General features: G+C 36.1%; 1 long non-coding RNA gene across 1 annotated transcript in view; it reads left to right on the top strand.

The window, feature by feature from the left end:
* Positions 1 to 19,764, top strand: part of ZRANB2-DT (ZRANB2 divergent transcript) — a 156,400-nt gene that overhangs the window by 8,697 nt on the left and 127,939 nt on the right. The window contains exon 2 of the long non-coding RNA NR_046217.1: positions 1,644 to 1,684. This is a non-coding gene — a long non-coding RNA (ZRANB2 divergent transcript). The remainder of the gene's footprint in view (positions 1 to 1,643; positions 1,685 to 19,764) is intronic.

Below are 19,764 nucleotides of genomic sequence, written 5' to 3' on the forward strand. Positions count from 1 at the left end.
CTCAGCATTCTTTTGCATTTCTTTCCTGCGGGCTCCAAGATTTGGCATAGTTGTTTCCATTCTTTGCTGTCACTATTTGTTCTTTTGCTGTGATCTGTGAGTCACAGAACATAGCTGAAGAGTTTTTCACAGTTAGAAACCAGAGAGAAATAGACAAAGTTTAGGAACAGGAAAGTTATAGCATCATTAGAACTCTTAAAAGTCTCTTGTCTGGACGGGAACAGTATGATAAACAAGAGCACTCGCAGTTTATATCTACTCAACGTGCTTTTCTATCGCCATCTCACAGTCCAGGTGCTTCTGGGGGCCTGTCAATCATGGTTCTTCCTTTACCCCCGAGCACAGTTTGAGATTCTTGTCTCAAGATGTTCAGTCAGAATGTCCAGTCTCCTGATGGGGGGAAGGAGTAAAGCAGCTAGCCCTGTGGACCATTAACTTCCTTTCCTATGGGGGCACCACTAGGAAAAAGAAAGGAAGGCAGGTAATCTATTCTAATCTCCTTTCTGACTAGACACCCTAATAAATAGAATAATGATTTTAGACAGAAGGAGATCTTTCTACAGAAAGCCCTTAGCAGGATCTCCCTGGATAAGGATTACTTCTAGTAAATAAATCTGGAATCTATTGATTTATGGGGACATGGATGGCTTCTCTGAAGAATGTCTTGTAATGGCATGCCATTTTATAACATTCTGAGGTATAAAATGGAGATGTATTATAAATTACACGCCTCTACTCTGTAAGGTAATAATCAGCAAAACTACGTACAGAGACCTAGTCAATCACTGGGGGTCAGTGGATAGGAAGCATCTGGCAAAGCCACACAGAATGTCCCAGACTTTCTCTGCTCTGTCTTTGCCTCTTGATTGCCTGTACTCCTGAAATTATTAGGAAAGCTTGATGCTATTTCTGATTTTTGTGAGTCCTTTTCGAGCATCAAATTCTGTGTGTTAGCTCACCTAATCATGGTGATTGTCTGAAAACTGAATATATGAACCAGGCAAGGCCAATCAGAATATTCCCGAGGATTCATTTAGGATTATTGGGAAAGAGAAGTTTTTTCTTCATTAGAGTTGCTGATCTGGTATATGTGAATGTGAGACCCACCTATATAGAGAAAGTTTACCCACAAAAGGAAGTCAAGTAGATACAATAAGAGCTGATAGATGGAGAGAATTAAAGAGAAAGAAGTGGGACGAGGGAAAAAAGTGAACTCTGAATATAGCATTTGTATCCCTGAATATAGCTCTATCTGAGGCATGCTTATCTCTTGGACTTCCCAGTCACCTAAGTCATGTCAGCACACTTTCTTTTGGCTTAAGCTACATTGCACTGGGGTTCTGTCACCTGCAACTAAAAATTCTGATTAATATGATAGCTTGAATTTGGCATGAGCCAGACTGGGAGGACCTGGGAACTCAGGACCAGGCAAACCCACTAGGAAGGAGTAGTACTCAAAGAAAAATATCAGATGTGAAACAAGGAATACATATATCATAAAGCTATTTTGAACTTCCACTTGTGATTCAGACATAAACGTTAACAGAATTTAAAATAAAATTGCAACTATTATAACAATTTTAAGCACCTTATTTTATGTATTTATGAAAGAATGTTCTTCTGTCTTTTTATTCTTTTCCTAGTTTTGCCCTGTGTATGACCTCGTTTGGAGCCATGAAACCAGGTAACATAAAGTGTTTTGTAGCTTTGGCTTTGATTTAGGAAGCAAAACTTCTTCTTAGCAATTATCCTTTTATGTTGCAATTACCTATTTGTTTTTATGTATCTCCAATTCTTCGCAGAATAAAATAAACATTATTCTCACTACCCAAGCACCTGGAACAAGGTTAATGCTCGATGTTTGTAGGATAAATGAAGAGAGGAATTTTATTTTTACCATTATTGAAACTATGCATAAGCCTGACCAATGTGAAACTGTACAGGCTTGATTCCTTCTTACTCTTTACCAAATGTGCATAATTATTTTACTTGGTATGCAACAAAATGTTTGATTGTGATGAATGCTATTATAGTTAAGGCGTGTTGCAAACATTTGCTGCAATAAACAAGGAATGACTATTCTAAATTGTTTCAAAGTCTAGAGTAGTGGATAAAATCATGAGTCTGGAACTAGATTTCTTGCACTGCTTTCTGCTAGCCTTGCGACTTTGGTCAAGGTGCTACCTTTCTTTTTCCTCACCTGTATAATAGTGATAACAGTGCATTATATTGTTGTTGTCAGTATTAAATATGTACTATGTTTAAAACTCTTCTCATGAAGAGTATCTAGCATGTGATATGTGTAATGTGTTTACTGTGATTATTCTTATTATTGTTATTCTCCAAAATTCAGTTTTATCAAAGTAAGATGGGGAAAATATTACATATATGTGTGTATTTCTAATGGATAATACATGTAAAATGCCTGACAATAAATACACAATTACCAATTTTCAGAAACAAAACAATAATATAGCCCATCTAATACTGAAGTATACACACACACACACACACACACACACACACACACACTCATAAACAGCATAATGTTGAAGTTGACAGGTACAGGCATTGAAACCAGTTTGCTCGGGTCAAATCCAGACTCCATTGCATATTATTTGTGTAATGTTGGGCAGGTTACTTAGCTTCTTGGAGTCACCTCTAATAAAATGAGGACAGTGGTAACATGTATTCCATAATGTGGTCTTGAGAATTAATTGTGTCAATTTTTCTAAAGTAATAAAGGCAATGCCAGGAAAATATTAAGTAGTCAATAAGTGTTAGCTCTTATTATCACTTTGAGCTTCAGTCACATTCAGTGATGACAATGAGGACAACGGTATTTACCTTACCAGGCTGCTGTGTAGATAAAGTGTGATAGCGCCCATGAAAATGTCTAGTAAATATGGGCAGCTGAAGCAGGAGAATCGCTTGAACCTGGGAGACGGAGGTTGCAGTGAGTCGAGATCTTGTCACTGCCCTCCAGCCTGGGTGACAGAGTAAGACTCTGTCTCAAAAAAAAAAAAAAAAAAAGTCTAGTAAATAGTACTCAATAAATGCCAATTTTCTCCATTTTTTATTTTATTATTATTATTTTTATTTTTTGAGACAGAGTTTCGCTCTTTTTGACCAAGCTGGAGTGCAATGGCGTGATCTCGGCTCGCTGCAATCTCTGCCTTCCAGGTTCAAGTGATTCTCCTGCCTCAGCCTTCTGAGTAGTTGGGATTACAGGTGCGCACCACCACGCCCGTCTAATTTTTTGTATTTTTAGTAGAAATGGTTTCACCATGTTAGCCAGGCTGGTCTCGAACTCCTGACCTCAGGTAATCTGCCCGCCTTGGTCTCCCAAAGTGCTGGGATTACAGGTGTGAGCCACTGCACCCAGCCAAATATCAATTGCATTTCCATGTGTGAATATAGGACAGAGAAGATAGATTAGGTGGAATTTTATCAGTGACACATATTATACATTGTTATCAAGTAAATATTATCAGTCGGCGTATTAGCTGTTCTTTTCTTATAAAAGTAGATTGTGCCACAGATACCTTATTTTGTTAATTCTTTTGATTCTGGTCATAGATAAATGGTGATTTACTCTATTCAAAGAAGGATAGAAAAGTGGGCTTGCATTTTAGGTTTCTTGTGGCATACACTGGTGTGCAATCTGCTAGAACTGAAGGAGGATGTTATTAATCAAAAGGTGCACAAGGAGGGAAAGGACTTCATTATGCTGTTTTGCTTCCACAACTTGCACCTGGAGCTTCTTAATGAATGTGCCCTTTGGAGACAGGTGGCACTCTGAAAAGTGTAAGCCTCTTTAAACCTCTTCTTGTCTCAAATTGACACGTCCTCGTCTCAAATTGACACGTCCTCATGACACTATGAATAATCAATCTAATTCTTAAATGATGTGAATGACTTTGGTTGGACTATAATTAGTTGAAGCAATTTTTTCTCCTGGTCATTAGAAGCACACATTGCTAGAATTAGGGAAAGAAAGAAAGTCAGGAAATGGCTGGGAAAAAAAGTCATGTATTCCTTGAAAAATACAAATTTATAGATGATATTGTGTACTGGGTGAACAAATCCAGTAGATGGCAGTTTAGTAACATACAATATCCTTCTATCATGGGGAATTCATGTTTAGCAGTCATCTTTTCTTAGAATATATATGAAAATATATATCTTAAATGTTATCTGTTTATTGCGATATTTTGTGGAAAAGTTATCATCTACCACCTCTATGGGTGCTCTCTGCTGGCTAAGAGAAGCAAAGTTGTTATAAACTTGTCAAATAACAAACAATATAAGGTGTGTTGGAATTTTCCAGGATTTTTCCATCATATTTTATTACCTCCCATTCATTTGAAGCACATATAGATATCTATGATATTTGAAGAAATAAAGGATTTGGCAATGTTTTTTAAGAAAAATAGCACTATAACCAACAATTGATTCCTCTGAAAAGCTGGCTATAATTTTTAGCATTTCATGCATAATTTCTTTAATTGTTAGCTAAGATATTTAGTAAGCTAAGAGAATTATGGAAAGGGAGCAGAGTATATATAGATTATCAGAATGAGAAGGTAATATATCTGAGAATTTTTGAATGTTAAAAGGAGAAAAAAAGAGCCCAACCTTCCCTGAGATATAAACTCAAAGACTGCATCACTTCTTACATGGGATTCAACAAAAAGTCCAGGCATTAGGAAAATTCTGATTCCAGAACAGAAAGCTAGCAGTACGTTCTAAGATAGAAGTAAACCATTACACACATTGCATTGGTTTAATTGAGCATACATTATATCCTTCAGTAAGAAATTTCTGCCATGGTGCACTATTTTCTTGGGCACCAGGGCCTGACAGCTTTCTCACACAAGTCAGCAGTTGAAAGTGATACAATTTTGATGTGAAATGTGCTTATACTTTGAAAGCAATTAAACAAGCCTTGTTTGCTTATAATTTTCTAATAAAATAAAAGACCTTATGTGGAAAGCAATTTTAAAAACACATCATAACATTTTAAGTATGTAGGTCTTGCGACGTTTGTTCCCATTTTCTAGTGACAGACACAGAGTAATAAGATTTCCCTAACAGATGCTTAGTGCTGGGTACTCACATGTCACTCAAGCTGACAAGGTTTCAGAAAAAAACACTTTCTTCACCATGTTACCATTTTGAAAGATCAGCTATTGCATATAATTTAATTTTGTTTAATTGAAAGGTATAAAATTCACAAAATACAGTTTATAAAAGTTAATGTAATGAATAAATTGGGAATATACCTTAAACAACCCACTAGATCCTATCTACAAATTTAGTCTGTCTCAGACAAGACTTTAATCCTATATGCCTGGAGAAGAGTTTTAGCTCAGTTCACGATAAGATTATAGAATTTTAAAGCTGGGAAAAATACGTGTAGATAATCTACTTCTTTCAATGCCCAGTTTTAATGATTTACTTTTTATATATACCTGAAAAATTGGACTTATACCTGAAAAATTTGAACTTAATTAATATACAGCAGGCACCATTAAAGTTACATAGATTATTTATTCAATCTTTCAACCAACATTTATCAAGCATCTTACATATACTGACTAGTATTTCCGAGGAACTGTATTATGGACTTTTAATGCAAGAATAAATAGTTCACTATCCTTGCCTCTGAGGAAGTGCTCAGAGTCTAGCTGGGAAGATAGACAAGTAAATTAATAACTATACTATAGTGTGATAAAGCCTAGACAGGTTTGTATACAGCCCTGTGGGAAAACAGATGAGGGTGCAACCTATGTCACCTGGGGGTTTTGGGAAGATAACAGAAAGGAAATCACATTCGAGCTGGGTCTTGGAGTTTGAGCAGGAATTCTCGGGGAAAAGTAGGGGTGAGGATTTAGTAAAGGAAATAGACATGAAGGCAGAAGAATATGTTCACAGAATGACATTTTTAAATACAAGGAATGGTGGGAAATGATGTAGAGTGGCCCTGGAAACGTAGTTCAGAGAAAGACTGCAAAAATCAGATGCTAGAGAGTTTGGCTAGAGAGTTAGGAAACAGGGAGCTACTAAAAAAAATTGAAAATGAAGAAAAAGGATATGATCAGATTTATATTTTTAAAAACATTATCTCTGGCAATGGTGTGAAAGATGGGTTAGACAAAGTCAAGAATAGTCTGATTGAAATATGTTCAGGTCTATACTAGCACAGTGGAAGTGACAATGGACAAACGCACGTATTAAGGTACACTTTAGAAATGGAAGTAACAATTTGGCGATCAGTTGCTTGGAAGAGGTGCGTGCTAAGGTAAAGGGAGAAGGTAAGAATGGCTTCAAGAGATCTAGTTGGTATGATTAGTTTTGAGGGTTTGGATAAGCATTTATTTAATCCTCTTCACAAGCTTTTGAAGATTCTAACAGGTGAGAAAAATGAATCTCTGAAAAGTTAAGTAATTTGCCAAGGTTACTGCTTTGGACTGAATTGTGTGCCCCCAAAATTCATATGTTGAAACCCTAACTCTCAATGTAATGACATTTGGAGATGGGGCTTTTAAGAGGTAAATAGGTTTAGATAAGTTCATAAAGGTACTCATGATGGCACTAGTACCCTTATAAGAAGAGACCAGAGAAGTAGCTCTGTGTGAGAACACAGCAAGAAGGCAGCTTCTGCAAGCCACAAAGAAGGCCCTCACCAGAAACTGAATGTGGTGGAACTCTGATCTTGGACTTCTTAGCCTCCAGAACTGAGAGAAATCAATGTCTGTTGTTTAAGTGACCCAACTTCTGGTATTTTGTTACAGTAGCCTGAACAGTCTAGAATTACCATACAGTTAGTAATTTATGAAGGCCAGATTTGAGCACATTCTGTTTCATTAATTCCAGAATCCAAGCTCTTAACCAGTGTGCTGGCTGTTTCTTTCTATACTCATGGAGTGGCCAGTATGCCATTTACTGGACTAGGAAATATGGGAGGAAAAAAACATGTTTTGAATATCAGATAATCAGTTCGTTTCTTAACATCTTGAGTTTTACATAAGTGGTAGGCAAAACACTGGAGACATTCAGAAGAGAATTGTAAATAATAGTTCTGACGCTCATAAAAGAAATGGAGTCAGAAAGTTCAGCAGTAGGAGATACCAGTAATGATCGAAGCCGTGGGAGTGGCTCACATGGCCCAGAGAAGAGATGTAGAGTGAGAATGGCAGAGGACTGTGTAGAAAGCTTTCAGTGGCAGTGGAACGAAAGGGGTCGCTGGAGGAGACTGAAAAGGTGCACTCAGATGACTTAAAGGAAAACTTCCTTTAGTTAAAGTACAACTTCCACGTAAGTCTGTGAAATGGAGACTGACTTTTTCTCCCTTGAACATGCATTGGGGAGAAGGTTGAAACTGCATATTCTTAATGGTTTACTATTACTTTAAGAGCCTTTTCTTCACTGGAAAGCTGTCATTCACAGCTTCTCTTTTTCTGAAGTTCACAATCTCTTCCCATTGGATATCACCATATTCCATTCCACACAAATTTTGTAATTGTAGTAGGCCACAAGTCCACCTCCTTGATGATTCTACCACCCCACCTGAATTCCTAGACTATCCTTAAGCCAACTTCACTTCCAACATGTTTCCGTGTGAATCAGGGAACTGCTCCTTTTATGAAATAAGCCATAAAATTCTTATGACTGAACCTCATAGCTCTCTCTTTCTACCTTCCTCTAACTCAATCCATATTTAATGTAGTTCAAGTCAATTATTAAATACTTATTGTATGTTGTGTGCTAGGACTTAGAATACAGACTCACACAACAGACACATATATGCGCACACATAGTGTAAACATACCCTAGCACTGAAACATTGTTTCATCTCACAGAATAGGAAGGGAGCAGGTATGTAAAAACAATTTTGCAATCCTAGTGTGATAAGTAAAATAATACAGGTATATTATAGATGCAGTAGTATGATACAGTGGAAAGTTTGAACAGTTACACTTAAGTTGAAAATGGGAGAGATATCATTTATCTAGAAATGAATAACTAAACCCTAAAACATAGTGGCTTAAAATGGAAATGATTCCTTATTTCCCATAATTCTGTGGGTTGACTGGGCTCCACCTCCATTCATCTGGTGGTTGGGATGAACAGGAATGGCCAAGAAGATCTCACTCATATGTCTGAGGTATAGTTGCTATATGCAATCTCTCCTCTCTATGATTTTCTGTCTGCATGGTATCTCATACTCCAGGCAAGATAGCCTGAACTTCTTCGCAATATGGCAGTTGGGTTAGGCTGGAACTGGAATAGTGTCAGTTCTACAGCATTCTGTTTGTTTGCCCAGAATCAAGGGGTTTTTTGGTGGGAGTAATGGCATGACTGTATAAGGGTGGAAGGAAATTTTGGCGGCCATTTTTTTTCATACTAAGTACTACACGTGACTTTAATAAGAAAGATGCTTGAAGTGGGTCTTGAAAACTGAGAAGTTCATTAGTGAATAGAGGACAGGAAGTTTAGGAGAAGAAGAGGAGCCCTTTGAAAGAACAGCAGTAACATGAAGACAGAAAGCATCATATTTGGTCTGCCTGACAGGACATACAGAATGCCTGGAGGCATTTGGGAAAAGGAATTAGAAATGAGCTTGAGAGGCAGGCAAGATTATAAACAGTCTTGTATGTTTTAAGAAGTAATGGCACTTTATCATCCAGGCTGCAGAATACCCAGAGGGGTTTCATTCAGGGGAATGACTGCTCTTCACTCTCATTGATTCTTCTGTACTTTGTCAGTTTCGTATGTTCTTGATCAATAAGACTTCTCTGGCTTCATTTCCTTATTCACTCCAGCTGACAATCCATGGTCATTCAGTTAAACCTCTCTCTCACTGACGCTCTTATTTCCCAACACTCTCACGACCTTCTTCTCATTCCATTATTCCTAATCCTCGATTCTAGAATAACCCAACCATCTGTTTGTTCTGATCCTGAAACCAGGCACTGAATAATCCTGGAGCAAATCACATAACCATATTGATTGTCTGTCTGCCTTACACATTTATGATTTCTGACATCTGTTGGACTCTTAATCTTTTTCTAGGAAATCTTTACAGATACTTACCTATTTCCTATGACGCTTTCTTTTTAAAATTTTTACAGCTTTTTATACTTTGTACTTAATGCTGCACTCTTTATTCTTTGCAGATTACCTTCCCTACTTCACAGAGGAAATAGTTGTTACAGTCAGGAAAATTTTCCTTTATAACTTCTTCCTGGAGTTCATCTATTCTTTTCATTCTGGATGATCCTCTATCTTTCCTTCCAGATTCCTATCATTCTGGACTTATTCTACTTCTCCTGCAACTCTAAATTGATTTACAGTTCTTATCCATCCTTATTTTCTTTCCTCCTTCAACATAGTCATTCTTCCTTTTTTACCCCTTTCCTCTTGCCTTTGACCTCAAACCTTCTCCCTCTTGCAAGTTCTTGCTTTAATAATGATCTCCTTTTTTACTTGCTTTTCCATTCTCTTTCTACAACTTCCTCCTCAGCCATGCTTCTACCACAATCAGTATTCTCTCATTGTACCCCCTGCTTATTGTTTATTTTATATTTATTCCTTGGTAACCTGAAGCTAGGCTTGTCTCGATTGAACACCAGGCAAAGTTTTTGACATATAGTATGAAAGTAATAAATATGTATTAATGATCAATTTCTAATTTCCAATATTATAACCTCTTTTAAGTTCTCATATTATAGTGAGAAGATGGGGAAAAGGTCCCAGTTTAAGGTCCTGTCTTTGGATCAGTGGGAGCTTGCTAAACCATAGTTGCAACTGGACATAATGGCTGAGATTCTGTATTCTATAGATCTTTTCCAAAATCAATCTTATTCCATTTGCATTTAGGTTTGTTGGAACCTGTACTGTAGCAGTTGGTAAATATATTGAATATTACCATTATCTCTCTCTCTTTCCATACATATATGTATGCGTGTGTGCACTCTGGAAATTGTATCATTATATAAAAATGATTATTATTCCTGGTTGAAGTGTGGTGCCCATTTAACACATGATAATCACAGATTTTTAGAGCAAAAACTCTTTCTCATATGCTAGACAGATTTACAAAGGCAGAAATCATGGTTTCCTGGCATATAGAAGGTAACAAATATGTTTTTGTGGAATGAATGGATGAATGTTCTTTATGTGTAACACAGGAAAAAATTTCTAGATGAGCATAGAACATATTTATGAAATTTTAAATCAAATATAATATCTATAGTTAGGGCTTAGAATGTTCAGACATTGTAAGTGACTATTGTACTACTGTTATTGAAAGAAAAAAACACTCATCAGTATAGCAATTCACAGAGCTTGTTTTTTCTTGTAAATTTCATTTGTTAAGAGCGTTGTTTTAGATGCAGTCTCTCTATAGAAACATGTATAAACTCATGAGGAGTTTGAACATAAAGTACTGCTATAAAACTAGGTACTTATTTTCCTTCAATGTATCTAACTTTTATCTTACAGACTGTGAGCTCATTTAATAGCATCAAGTGAAGGAGACTGGTATAGCATCCCCTCTGCTGCATACCTTTGGGACTTTCCTGTATAATGTTGATGCTCAGTCTCAGCCAACCTGACAATAAAATGATCCACTTATCCAACACAAGCAGGCAGAGGAGGAGATACTACATCTTTTCACGCTGCGTCCCACTCCCAGAGCCAGTCCAATGCTTCCTTTGGGCTGAGCACACACACACAGAAACCCCTTCATCAACAATTTTTCATGTTTTCTGTTAAATTGGGTTTACTCTTCTTACGTGAATTTTCCCCTAGATACTTTTACCAAATAACACAGAAAGTATTTGAGGTGAACTAAAACTTTTTAATAATAAACTTTGTGGTTATAAAACCCAAGGAAGACAAGACTACTGAGGCAGTTAGAAGAAATTGCTGAAGTCAAGAATAAAAAAAGATATATGTTAGTCTAAATCTTAAAATGAAACTTTTCAAAGAACCAATATTGTCTAATTGGAAACTTTTATACATTCCTTGGGAGTCTACTTCATAAAGTAATTTTTTTAGCCACTAACACATTTTTTACCATTGTGTAAAGTTTTTACTTTCTTAATTCCTCTACTCTTTGGCACTTCTGTTTTTAAAAATAACACAGAAAGCAATTGTCTTTTGCATTAGATATCTTACTTTTAACTGAAACTCATGTAAACCCTATTAAAGTTGCTTACTTAGGTATTTTTATTTTTTACTGAAAATAAATGCTTTCTTTTGGGACCATGTTTTGTTGTCAAGGTGCAATCCTAGAATTACCAGGCAGATTTGAGAGCAATCCTAATTGAATTAAAAATTCTAACTATGTTTTGTTATTATAGATTATAGCTTAATTATTTGAAGGAAACCAAAGTGCCTGTTGTCCTAAGATATTCTATTAACTTTTAAAAATACCTAACTCTATCAATCTTCTGTTTTAAAGCCTTCATTTTCTATAATTCTATTATTAAAATAAAAATATGTTGTTGACAGGCTTTTAACGTATATATCAAAGACAATATGTAGAATTCTAACTAAAAAAAACAGGACCAGGGCAGAAAGATTTTGAGGGAAAATAGTGGCAGAAAGACTCAGAAAAGAATATTCAACGAAAAACTCTGCTTTGCTCTAGGTGGTATGAGGACTGGGCCTTTTGTCAGTTAACAGTCTTTCTGTACAATATTCAGAAAATCCAGCTGAAAAGATCTAAAACCAAAAGGGAATTTATTGGCTCTCATAACTGATACTCATAGCCTATATGCCAGTTATCAAGTTATTGCCTCTTGGCTCCAAATTCACCCTTCAATATATATTCTATGATAATAGACAATTCCTTTTAGTATTTCTCCTTTAAAGTGAGACCTATGTTAACCTTTCTCAGCAGAGGATGCTGATTTCAGGAAAAAGGTGTCAGGCTGCCTGCCATCCCTTAAGGCAGTAGTGTGGGTATAAGGACATCTGGTGAAGCTTTGCCTCAGTCATGTGCCAAGAACATAGGCCTTTGGCAACCTTGCAGAGTAGATCCTGCAATAACCTTCTTGCTTTGCCCTTGACATGGAAATTTGCATACGCATATCCTCTTGGCTCTGTTTCTTTAGAGAACTTGAATACAGCAATCAACAGATGTCACTATTGACCTCTGAAAATAAAGGAGGAAGAGGAGAAAGACAGTGTGGAGGTGGGATTGGACAAAGGCATGATCCTTGGAGGAAAGGTAGAGAAGGATCAACTTCTCATTTCACAATTTTGTCTTGGGCAGGTAGTATATTTACTGATTCTAGACTTTCAGTCTATTTCTCTCTCACTTTTGGGGTGTAGTAAGGTACAACATATTGTATAACTTTCCACCACTCATCTACTGATTTGTTGGCCAGAACCAAGAGGACACTGGAGGACTTACCAACACTTATTCATGGGCTGGGATGAAACTTGATCCAAGGGCCCCTCAGAGGTGTATAATAATTATAGATGTTTATAAATAATTGACTCAGTGGCTTATTTGCTTATTTATTCACAGACTCATTCAATTATCCACTTAGCACCAGGTACAGCTAATCTGTGAAGTAAGGAAAAGAATTTCAAGATATGTAGTATATAGTTCCCAGCTCTCCAATAATTTATATACCTGTTACATAATAAAACAAATGAACTTATTTTTAATTCAGGGGTAATTAAAATCAAATTGATGAGAGAGGTTCAAATGATCGTTGCAACTCAGAAAATGGAGAAAGAACATTTGCTGAAATGAGGGAAGGCTACATAAAAGACGTATAGTTGAGCTCTGAAAAATGGTTGGGATTTTGATATGAAGAGACAGAAGATGACTTCTAGTTAGAAACAGCAAAAGCAAAAGAACAGGGTTAAAAAATAATACAACCTTGTTTGAGATGCATGAATAAAGCAACATAGTTGGAATAAAATATTTAGGGAGGCAACTTGAGGGTGAGGTTGGAGTAACACATTGGGAAATAATCATGGTCAACCTTAAAGGCCAAACTAAGAACTTACATAATTTTTTAAAGTGCAGAAAAGTGCATAAAAGATAAGTGTCCATTTCATAGATTATTACAAAGTTAATGCTCCTATGAAATCACTACCCAGATCACAAAATAAAACATTTCCAACATATCAGAAAGCCCATTCAGCCCTTTCAAAGAACATACCTTTTTTTCTCTCTCAAGGAAACTCCACTGACCTCTAACACCGTAGACCAGGAGTGACTATTTTTTAATTCTATATACCTGTCATTACATAAAATATATTATTTTATGTCTAACTTCTTTCACCTAACAATGTTGATGAGACTCATACATGCTGTTGAATGTATCTGTGGCTCACTTATTTTCATTGTTTGATGATATTCTAGTATATAAATATACCACAATTTATCCAAGTGACTGTTATTTTGTAGAATTTAAAGATTATAATAAGGGTGATCAAATATACTTGAGCTTAAGTAACTGCCAAGAATGGTAGAGTCTTAACCAACTAAAGGAGGCTTAGAAGAAAATTCTGGTTTGGAGTATATGGTTTTCAATTCTAAAATTATATCGCTTACCTTATTAAACTATTTTACCAATCCTTTAGTTTGAATTTGTGACAATCTTTTTCTTCAACTCTCATTTTTCATCATTGCTATGGAAGGTCATTCTCGGAAGACATTGCAGCTGTCAGGGAAGAAAAAACCGGGACTATGGAGGGATAGTTAAATTGCCTCCCTCTCAGTGAGCTCGGTATCCAGAGCTTTTCTATTATTCAAACCTGACGGCTTTGGTGTAAGGAGTGATAGTAGCTAGGAGAATGACAGGTCTGGGACTTCTGGGAAGCCTAAGTCCACATAGCTTTTAAAGTGGTAGCTATTCCATGTGCTCAACTTATCACTAATTCTTTCCTTATTTCTAGACATTTTTTTTTCTATCACTGACATAAGCAATGGCTTTTTCCATTTTTGCAGCCTATTATTTATTTAACTGGATATTAACAGGTATCTAGCAGACATGTAGATACCCCAGGAACAGCATGCCACTACCTTCACCTGTGTTGGTGTTGTGATAGTAATTCCAATTGATTAATTTTTTTATCAATTGATTAATTTTTGAGACAGTTTGCTTGGATAACAGTTCAGACATTGCTAGGCTTGACTGTATGAATTCCTATGGAATGGATCTCTTAGGCTCTGTGTGCATTTTAGCACAGCCTTTTTAATAGAAGCTTTTATTTAATATCTGTGGTAATATTTTACTTACCATTGTATCCGGAAACATAGGAAAGACTGTTCATTAAACTTGTTTATATTGCTTCTTCCAATCAGGTTTCTTTGACAAATGTTTTGCCTTAAATTTGTGCTTTCCAGGATTATTACTATGCCTTGATAGCTTACGGGATGGCACTAACAAGAAACAGAAGAGATAGTATCTTATATTTCTAGACCACTTTAGAATTTACAAAGCATTTCTACATCTATTATTTCCCATTACTGTCTCCACCACCCTGTAAAAGAGGTGTTTTTGCTTTCATTTTAAAGATCAAGAAATGTGGGCTCAAAGACATATGTAGTATCACAGTCACTGGTTTGTGTAAGATCAAATCTGATCTTCTAATCCTAGGTTCAGCGCTATTAGCTAGTGCCTCCATCCTGCTTATCTGTATCTGGTGTAGATTTTCCTGTTATCCCTTTGGTATCTGGTGTAGAATTTCCTGTTATCCCTCAAATGTTAATTAGGAGCTATATTCTTGCCACGTAAGAATTATATGTCTATCGAGTTCATATACCTTAGCATTAGACAACAACTGAAATTCTCAAAATTATCAGGTTAATGTATCACCTAGAACTAGTCAATTTTCTGGAATTAATTTTATGTCATAAGGCTTACTTTTTATCTTTTCATGTGCTTTAATAATACTTGAACCAATATTACCTCCTATGTGAACAGAGTTCAGGTGAATAGCCAGTGAGCTTCTATTACAGATCTATTTTAGAATTGACTTCTTTGTGGCACCAATAAAATCTTCAACTACAGCATGATTATGTTGTCAAAAAGTTGATTTTCATCATAGTCTGAATATTGATTCATTGAATATGTAACTTTTTTCTTGAGAGAAATAAAATTATTTCCCTGGATACGTTACATAGATCATCAGTATGTATGAAGTTTTGAAGAGGTTGGTCATTGGTAAATATACTAAAGAAAATAATCCGAAACAAACCATACAGATAAAAGACAATTCTTACATTAGTTTAACATTAAATGTCCCTTAGTACATAGATGAAAGACTAAAATGCAGGACAATATAAGCATAATATGTGTTGATTTATGAGCAGCATGCAGCTCAATAATCCATTGGTGTCTACTGACTAAGATCAGTGTAAGGGCAAACACGGCTCTCTTTTGAGTGCTGTTCTAGGCTCTTCTGGTGAAAAGATATTTTTAGGCAACACTGTGCAATTCAGAGAACGTGAAAGGTAATGAGGTATTCCTCTCAGCGCAATGTACCATGTCCATTCTATCATTGAAAGAGTAATGACATGAATCAGAAAAGCCAAACACATATACATTTAAATCCCTGAAAAATGATGTGACTATGAAGTTACTGAATTACTTGGATGTTTTGTCAAAGTTTACTTCCTGGCTAAATAGTGGGCCTCTCCATATTCAACCATGTCACATACTTATTTAAATATGTCACATATTTAATTAAACTTTCTTGCTTAAATGGGAGTTGGAGAATGATCTGGCCAACATGAACCAAGTTGAGAAGGGGTTATTAATTAGGTTCCAGGATGGTGAAGAGTATGCAGTTCTTACCCAGGACCATGGGAATGCAGTGAGCCAAAGGGATTGGCAAATCTGTCAGAAGAAAGAAAGAAGAAATCTGTCAGAGGAAAGAAAGAACATTAGATTTTCTGGGCCAAAAATTAAGCCAAAAAACTTTTAGCAAAGAAATAAGATATGAAAAGAGCAAAAGCCTTTCGGGAGTGAATAGGTGGTTCTTTGACAATGTCCTAATTTGACAATGGTAGAGGATCAGATAACTGAGGTTTTTCTTTAGGGAACAGTGGGCATATGAGTGAAAGGAGTTGGTTGGCTAGAAGGGCCAAGAGCTGAGCAGATTACGATTCATTATTCTTTCCTACGATAAACATTACCTAGTATTCTATCATTAGACACAATTAAAATGTGTAAAAGCAAAAAAGTCACCATCATAATCAATTATTTAGTTTTTCTAAAGGATTTCAAACAATGTTTGATTGATTTTTAAATGCTGAATTGGATGATTTTGGGATTCAATTAGTAATACAGAGGAACAGACTCTCAATGGGAGACAAATTTCAAGGTTATCCAATGGCACTTGAGGCAGGAATTCTTTCTATATTGTTCAAGTTGAGCGAAAGTCTGGTATTAAGTTCTGTGTTGACAGTACACATGCTGCTTTATGAGGCACTCCATTTCATTGTGTATAGCCTTATGTCTGTAATTTTTATTTTTGGCTTCCTAGAAAACATTCCTAATTTCTACCAGCATTTTGGTTTATGTTTGTAGAAAAATGTCTTCTTAATCTGATACAGTCTAGTGAAACTATTAATGATGGCCCTTACCTCACCCTAAACAAAGGTACCAACCTGACCCCGGGTAGTCCTGTAGTCAGTCCTTTTCTCAAATTTGAATCTTGAACACGGTGAAACAAACGTTCAGCATTGTTTCATTTCCAGCAGTGGTTGGTGCCCTGACCAGACTATTTTCCCCCTGAGCCTCTGACCGTCTTTCCTGTTTTCTCATTCTCTGAATGAATCTGCCCTAGTTTTTGTTGTTTCCAAACTGATTCTCCAGCTTCCTGTCAATACTGTGCATGCCAGTCAACTGGGGAGACTGTTAGAAATGAAGATTCTTAGACCTCATGTTGCTTAAAGTATTTAGCAGTAGTAGTATGAGGTGGGGTACAGGAAGTTAAATTTACAACACACTCCGAGTAACACTGATGCAGTCAAAAATATGAGCTGACTTTTGGGAACACTGTACAATGTACATTTGTACTTTAATAGAACATTTCTGAAAGTGGAAAAGTCTTCCTGACTGACTCACTAACTGGATAAATTCCAGTTCTTTCATTCATTCAATAATTCAACAAACAGACATTGAGCATCTACCCTGTGACAGGCATCAACGATGAGCCTTGGAGTAAATAATATCATTAAGATTATTTGAGGCTGGGCGTACCAGCTTGCTTTTGGCGGGGCACTGAGTCATTCAAAAGAGCAAGGAATACATATCTAGATATCGATGTCTTATATTCAGTAAATATCACTAATAATCTTTAAAAGAAATGGACAAGCATTTATCTCTATATTTCCATATCCCTCATATTCCTCAAAAGTGTCATAATAAAGAGATTTCTAATTACACTCTAGGCATGTTCCTTTGTGTATGTAAAAATAGTTCTAGGCAATACCAGAAATCTCAGTTCTAATTAATTAGTCTTAGGCATGATAATAAAATTCAGCCATACCAATTTTCTGCCAGGTTTAATGAAACAAGGTTTTCTTCTTTCATTTTGCTACTCAATTGCCTCACAATTACATGTACAATGTACAATAAAAATAACTGTATAGGTGAACAGGATATGAAAATGTTCAGAAATTCTTCCTTTCAACTAACAAAAATAACTTTTTATTTTTTTTTTTGAGACGGGCTCTCGCTCTGTCGCCCAGGCTGGAGTGCAGTGGCGCGATCTCGGCTCACTGCAAGCTCCGCCTCCCAGGTTCACACCATTCTCCTGCCTCAGCCTCCCAAGTAGCTGGGGCTACAGGCGCCCGCCACCACACCTGGCTAATTTTTTGTATTTTTAGTTGAGATGAGGTTTCACCGTGTTAGCCAGGATGGTCTCGATCTCCTGACTTCGTGATCTGCCTGCCTTGGCCTGTAAATGCTGGGATTACAGGCGTGAGCCACTGCTCCTGGCCTCAACTAACAAAAATAACTCTGAAGTAAAATACTGTTAAATAAGGTTCAAATTTTATGTTGTTTCGTTGATTATTTTAAGATTATAAATCAGTGATCTTAAGTACATCTTAAAAACTTATATCCCTCTAAAATTGACTCTAAGTAAATTGACCTCTAAAATTTCTCAATTTAAGCTTAGATCATTGTAAAATATATAGTTTACTGTAAATTGTAAATATTGACATAAAAGTTGTATCTTCTTGAGATATAGCCATTTCGATTCTCATGAAAAATCGATATTAAAGTACTTAAACTAATTCATCTGTAACAGTCACAAGTTACCCTGAACTTCTATTTCTATACCACTTTTTCAATAGGATTTAGCCTAGTTTAATGCATTCTTTCTGCCTCAAAGTCTTTTAGTAATTACCCTTTTCCTACCACAACAATATGGATGTACATTGAAAAAGTAATTAAAAATTTGGTGATGTAGACTCCAGGTGTTAAGAATTCTTCTGAATTCAATTTTCATTATTCATATTAATATATAATTAACCTAAACATCATGAATAATTTTTAGATAATATACATAAAAACTAAAATATATTAGAATTATATTCATTATTCTCATGATTGAGCAATTTCTTGTTTAATAAATGTATGTATCTGTGGCTGAATATTACTTATTGCTAGAATGAGTCAAAGCTTAGCATCAATCTATTCTATTTGATTGAGTTTCTTAATCCTGAGTTCTAGTTTGATTGCACTGTGGTCTGAGAGACAGTTTGTTATAATTTCTGTTCTTTTACATTTGCTGAGGAGAGCTTTACTTCCAACTATGTGGTCAATTTTGGAATAGGTGTGGTGTGGTGCTGAAAAAAATGTATATTCTGTTGATTTGGGGTGGAGAGTTCTGTAGATGTCTATTAGGTCCACTTGGTGCAGAGGTGAGTTCAATTCCTGGGTATCCTTGTTAACTTTCTGTCTTGTTGATCTGTCTAATGTTGACAGTGGGGTGTTAAAGTCTCCCATTATTATTGTCTGGGAGTCTAAGAAACTCACTCAAAACCACTCAACTACATGGAAACTGAACAACCTGCTCCTGAATGACTACTGGGTACATAACGAAATGAAGGCAGAAATAAAGATGTTCTTTGAAACCAATGAGAACAAAGACACAACATACCAGAATCTCTGGGACACATTCAAAGCAGTGTGTAGAGGGAAATTTATAGCACTAAATGCCCACAGGAGAAAGCAGGAAAGATCCAAAATTGACACCCGAACATCACAATTAAAAGAACTAGAAAAGCAAGAGCAAACACATTCAAAAGCTAGCAGAAGGCAAGAAATAACTAAAATCAGAGCAGAACTGAAGGAAATAGAGACCAAAAAAACCCTTCAAAAAATTAATGAATCCAGGAGCTGGTTTTTTGAAAGGATCAACAAAATTGATAGACTGCTAGCAAGACTAATAAAGAAGAAAATGGAGAAGAATCAAATAGATGCAATAAAAAATGATAAAGGGGATATCACCACCGATCCCACACGAATACAAACTACCATCAGAGAATACTACAAACACCTCTATGCAAATAAACTAGAAAATCTAGAAGAAATGGATAAATTCCTCGACACATACACTCTCCCAAGACTAAACCAGGAAGAAGTTGAATCTCTGAATAGACCAATAACAGGATCTGAAATTGTGGCAATAATCAATAGCTTACCAACCAAAAAGAGCCCAGGACCAGATGGATTCACAGCCGAATTCTACCAGAGGTACAAGGAGGAA

Source organism: Homo sapiens, chromosome 1 (assembly GCF_000001405.40).
Source record: "Homo sapiens chromosome 1, GRCh38.p14 Primary Assembly".
NCBI classification, from domain to species: domain Eukaryota; kingdom Metazoa; phylum Chordata; class Mammalia; order Primates; family Hominidae; genus Homo; species Homo sapiens.